Source organism: Homo sapiens, chromosome 9, assembly GCF_000001405.40.
Source record: "Homo sapiens chromosome 9, GRCh38.p14 Primary Assembly".
NCBI lineage: Eukaryota > Metazoa > Chordata > Mammalia > Primates > Hominidae > Homo > Homo sapiens.
This window is the reverse complement of record NC_000009.12, coordinates 76917632-76923631: the sequence shown is the minus strand read 5'-3', so window position 1 is coordinate 76923631 and position 6000 is coordinate 76917632.

Genomic DNA, 6000 nt, shown 5'->3' with positions numbered 1-6000 from the left:
GTGACATTCTGGGAAAGGTAAAATTATAGAGTTTATAAAAATATCAGTGGTTTCCAGGGGTTAAGGTTTGGGGCAGGGCGTTGAGGGTAAGTAGGCAGAGCTACATTACCCTACTTATGAGCAATGAGTTCTCCCCCCAAAAAATCATTTTTCTATCAACCAGGCTGGAGTGCAGTGGCATGATCTTGGCTCACTGCAGCCTCTGCCTCCTGGGCTCAAGTGATCCTCCTGCCTCTGCCTCCCAAATAGCTGAGACCAGAGGCATGTGCCACCACATCCAGCTAATTTTTTATTTTTGGTAGACTTGGAGTCTTGTTATGTTGTCTAGGCTGGTCTCCAACTCCTGGGCTCAAGTAATCCACCAGCCTTGGCCTCCCAAAGTGCTGGGATTACAGGTGTAAGCCACTGTATCAGGCCCAAATTTTTGATATCATAAACAACCTGTGGCAAATATTCTTGCATATGCATCTTTTCACACTTCTTTGACTATTTTTTGCTAATACATTCCTAAGGGTAGGTTTTCTGAGTCAGATGGCAGGCACATTGTAAACACCTTTTATATATATATATTTAGAAAGTGTCAGTGGTGTGCTGGAACTCTGAAACAAATTAGAGCTTTCCCCCTCTTCTATGGAGAGCTGACTATTAAACATTTAGCATACTACTGGAAAGTGTGTACAAATCTCCAGTCCTAACAGTATATGAGGACCCATTATTTTCACCTCAAAATCCATACTGATGCTTAAAACAGTAATATGTGCTAGTTGTAATTTGTATATTCTAATACTGATGATTCATAGTACCTGTTGCTATCTCTAGTTTTTCTTTTCTATAGCTCATTTAGAGGTTAAAAGAAATTTCAGGTATATTTGGGCATATTTCATACTCAGCCAGGTCAGTATGGTCCATTAAGGGCAAGCAAATTTTGCAGGGATTTAGCATAATTATGCAATAATTCCAAGGAGTCTCTGCACTTTGGAAAATTGTTATTTATAAAAACCTTTTAACTAATTGTTTTGGCATACATTGTTGATCTGCAGGGAACTTGGTGACACACAGAGAGGGAAGGGGAGAGAGTGATTAGAATCTCCAGGAGTCCTTTATCTAATTTTCCATCATCATACCATATACTCCATTTAAGCCCACGGGTGGGGATCTTCCTGACCTTGTTGGTACTGCTACCCTGGTAGCTAGTAAACCACTCTTTTAATGTGGTTGTGTTGCTTCTGTTGCAGTGGAATAAAGATTTGGACCACTGAGTCATCTAGTTCTAAGAAGCTGTGATTCTATCAGAAATGATCAATGGGGGGAGTCAGCTGGCATAATGAAAATAGCATGAATTTGGGGGTTAAGGTCTCCAGAATTCTAAGTCCTGCTTTGCCACAGGGCTATGCATTTTCTGTCATTTTCTACTCCACAGCTTGATTGGCTTATCTAGCCAACTAGATTCCTGCTTCATTTTCCCTAATCACTCCTGGTAGATCTTTTCGCCAAGGATTTACAAAGGAGCTACTCAAGAAATTCCCATGTGAAAGAGTGATAGTCTTCTACTTGATAAAAGCATAGGAATAGCCCCTTTGCCTCTAGATAACTGAATGCTCTTAGACAAGCCTCAGTTTTCACATGAATAGAATGAGTACATGTGTGTTAGTCTATTCTGGCATTGTAATAAAGAACTACTGAGACTGGGTAATTGAAAAGAGGTTTAATTGGCTCACGGTTCCACAGGTGGTATAGGAAGCATAGCTGGAGAGGGCTCGGGTAACTTACAATCGTGGTGGAAGGTGAAGGGAAAGTTGGCACATCCTTCATGGCTGGACCAGGAGGATGTGTGTGTGGGGTGCTACACACTTTTAGATAACCAGATCTCATGAGAACTCACTCACTGTCATGAGAACAGCAAGGGGAAGTGTGCCCCCAAGAATCAATCAGGCCCCAACCCTGACGATTACAATTCGACATGAGATTTGGGTGGGGACGCAAATCCAAACCATATCAGTGTGTGTGTGTGCGCGCATGCGCGCGCACGTTTAGAGGCCGGGGGGAACTGCACTCAATGTGTGAGTCCTGAAGTTCAATGATTCTATGAAACCAATTCACCTGTATAGTAAATGTGGTGGAATCACACTAGTGCCTTCAATAGAAACTAAACTCCCTTAAAAGAAGCGTTTGAGTTAGCTTCCAGAGACTGCTATGTGAGAACATGATGTTAAGTTGTCATATGTATGCTATAATTTGATTCTCACTGGAAGAATGCAGCAGTGATGTAAGAGGCTGTTTGTGAAATTAGGCCATCAGGGAATGCTTGTGCCCCATGACTGTAAGGACTATAATTCTCTTACACACAGACATCAAATGTTATTGCAAAGCCATTGGAAAAATTCTAATTATTTTAAAGGCATATATAAAATATGTACCTTTTATTAAATAATATGAATATAAAGTAAGATCAAGTTCTGACTCTGAGCTGTCCATGCTGATGACCTACAGAGCATTGCCAGCTTTAGTCTCTGCATTGCCTTCTTTTCTTGTAAGTATCAATGGCAGTTGCCCACTCAATGTAAGTTGAAGGGTGCAGCTGAAATCACCACCGCATCCCCAAAATATCTTTTCCACCAATGCTTTTGAAACCAAAGGTTTGCCACTTGAGATGAAGAAATCCTTTTTCTAGGTTTTTACCTCTAGCACCCCCTTGTTAAGAATATTGCAATGTCAATTGGTCATTACTAAAGGCCAGAGATAGCCAATGCAATCACCAAGTGTATCAGCGTATCAATTTTTTTTTTTTTTGAGATGGAGTCTCGCTCTGTCGCTCAGGCTGGAGTGCAGTGGCGCCATCTCGGCTCACTGAAAGCTCCTCCTCCCAGGTTCACACCATTCTCCTGCCTCAGCCTCTCAAGTAGCTGGGATTACAGGCACCCACCACCACGCCAGTTAATTTTTTTTTGTATTTTTAGTAGAGACAGGGTTTCACCGTGTTAGCCAGGATGGTCTCGATCTTGTGATCTGTCTGCCTCGGCCTCCCAAAGTGCTGGGATTACAGGCGTGAGCCACTGCATCTGGCCTTTTTTTTTTTTTTTTGAGACTGAGTCTCACTCTGTTGCCCAAGCTAGAGTGCAGTGGCAGGTATGAGCTTGGCTCACTGCAAGCAACCTCTGCCTCCCAGATTCAAGTGATTTTCGTGCCTCAGCCTCCCTAGTAGCTGAGATTACAGGCACCAGCCACAACACCTAATTTTTGTAGTTTTAGTACAGACGGGTTTTCACCATGTTGACCAGGCTGGTCTTGAACTCCCGACCTCAAGTGATCCACGCACCTTGGACTTCCAAAGTGCTGGGATTACAGGTGTGACCCACTATGGCCAACTAGTTTTCTGGGTCTTCTGTAAAAAAAAATTACCATGAACTTGGAGGCTTCAAACAATTTAAAAAATGCTGTTATAGTTTTGGAGGCCAGAAGTCCAAAACTAAGGTGTCAACAGGGTTGGTTCCTTGTGGATGCTCTGAGGGCAATCCATTCCTTGCCTATCTCCTAGCTTCCAATGGCTGCTGCCAATCCTCAGTGTTGCTTGGCTTGTAGACGTATTGATTCAGTCTCTGTCTCCATCTTCACATCTCATTTTCCTCTCTATCCCCGTGTCTCCAGTTTCTTTCTGCCTTGCTCTTATGACTCCTGGCATTAGATTAAAGGTCCACCCCAAATCTAGGATAAACTCATCTCGAGATTTTTACATCTGCAAAGATGTAAAAGAATTCTTTGCGAAGAAGCAAAGAATTATATCTGCAAAGATCTTTTTCAAAATAAGTTTACATTCACAGGTTCCAAAGGTGAGGACATGGACATATCTTTTTTTTTTTTTTTTGTCAGGGTCCAGGGGCACTGTTCAATCCACTGTAGCATGGGAAGCCCTGATAAAAAGAGACACAGGACAAGTAAGTACTGAACGGAAGGGATGGTAAAAAGAGAGATTTGAAAGGTAGGATGAGAACACTAGGCTGGAATTGGGGGATGGGTTGGAGATTGAAGGATAAATTCTTTCTTTCTTTTTTTTTTTTTTTTTGTTTGTTTTGTTTTAGTTTTTTGAAACAGGGTCTCACTCTCTCACCCAGGCAGGAGTGCAATGGCGTGATCTCAGCTCACTGCAACCTCTGCCTTGTAGATTCAAGCAATTCTCGTGCCTCAGCTTCCCAAGTAGCTGGGATTACAGGCATGTGCCACCATGCCCAGCTCATTTTTTTGTATTTTTAGAAGAGATGGGGTTTCACCATCTTGAGGTCAGGTTTCAAACTCCTGACCTCAAAGTGATCTGCCTGCTTTGGCCTCCCAAAGTGCTGGGACTATAGGCATGAGCCACCACACCTGGCCTGGAGAAATTATTTCCATTTTACTGATGAGCATTCTAAAAGGGAAATTGATAATCTTGAAGAACTTTGCCTGGGGGGTTCTCCTTGCAAGGGATTCTTTGGCCTGAGAAATCACTGGCCCTTATGCTGTTGGTGCCATAAGAGAATCTGGGAATGTGACTAGGACCGAACCATTTTGTGCGTGTTTTTTTGGCTGTTTATTCACTTGTCTATTCATCCATCCATTCAGTAAACATTTATTGAGCACTTTCTTTGTTCCTGGAACATAGAAGGCTACCTCCTTCTCAGGTGCCTTGTTGGGATGTTCTGTCCCTGTTTGTATCCAGCGTTGGGCTGGCAGTTTAGTGGAGTTGCACATGGTCAAGTCAGCCACTAAGATTACAATCAAGTAGAGTCAAAATTGCCTTAGAAAACTTCTGAAAACATCTATAAAGTACACCTAAATGGGTTTCTCCAATCTGAATACGGGGTTCAGACACAATAAACAATCGCAGGATGGAGATAATTGAGGAACACGATGAAGCACATCCTAGGATGATAATTGGTTTTGTCTTCTAACATTATTTTAATTCTTCTTTTCTTCCCTTTGCCGCACTTACAGAATTAAAGTTGTGAAAATTATATACGTACTTCACGTGATTCTAGTCTACTGCCACACAAGGCTCTGGTGGAGATGTAGCAACTGGAATCTTTCAAAACCGTGTGAGCCAGAGGCAGCCATAGGGATATTATGGTTGCTTGTTTATTCAGAAGTCACTGTTGTGTGGTTGAAAGAGACATGGGCTACTCCTCTCTGCTTGAAACAGAAAATTCCGTGAGAGACTCACGCAACCTACAAGAGGCTGGGTTGCCTCATGGTTCATCTCAATGATGTCCTCATAAAGGAAACTCCAGTCAGGTAGCCCTCAAAGCATTGAAAACAATGTAATTTTTCCTGAAATCTCATGAAGCTGCACCGAAGAGGAAACCCATACATAGCATATTTTCTTAAAATTCCGTCTCACATTTCTTTTTTAATATTTCACACATCACAGATGGCAGTTACCTAAAATTCCCACTTTTTATCCCTTAACATTTTGCAAATCCTCCCCAAATTTTTTGCACTCTGGCTCTTCTTTCTCCCTGTCCTCTGGTTTTCCTGATCTCAATTTTATCCCCTTTTACATGTAAATCAGTCTAGATGGCTGTAGTATTTTTTCATTTTCTTGACCACTGTTTCCTTCTTATGAGATCCATAAAGCGCAAAGCAAATCTACACCGAAAACTCTGGAATTAACCAGGATTTGAATTGAGCAGTTTGATTTTGCTACTTAGTAACAATGTGATTTTGGGTAAATTTCTTAAACTCTCTGATTCTCTCTCTTTTTTTCTAATTTGTAAAATAAAGCCAATAATACCAAATTGGTAGAGATGGTTTGAGGATTAAGTGAAACAATATATTTTCAGATTCCTATCACAATGCTGGCCATATTAGGCGGTTTAAAAAAATGCTGGTCGTTTTCTTTTTCTTTTCTTTGTAGAAAGATCTCCTTGTAGAGACAAATCACAATCAAAGACTTTTTGGTTAATGTGGAACGAGATCATGTGAATTAGAGCACATGGCGCTCTAAAGGCTCCATGCTAAGAATAACTGACA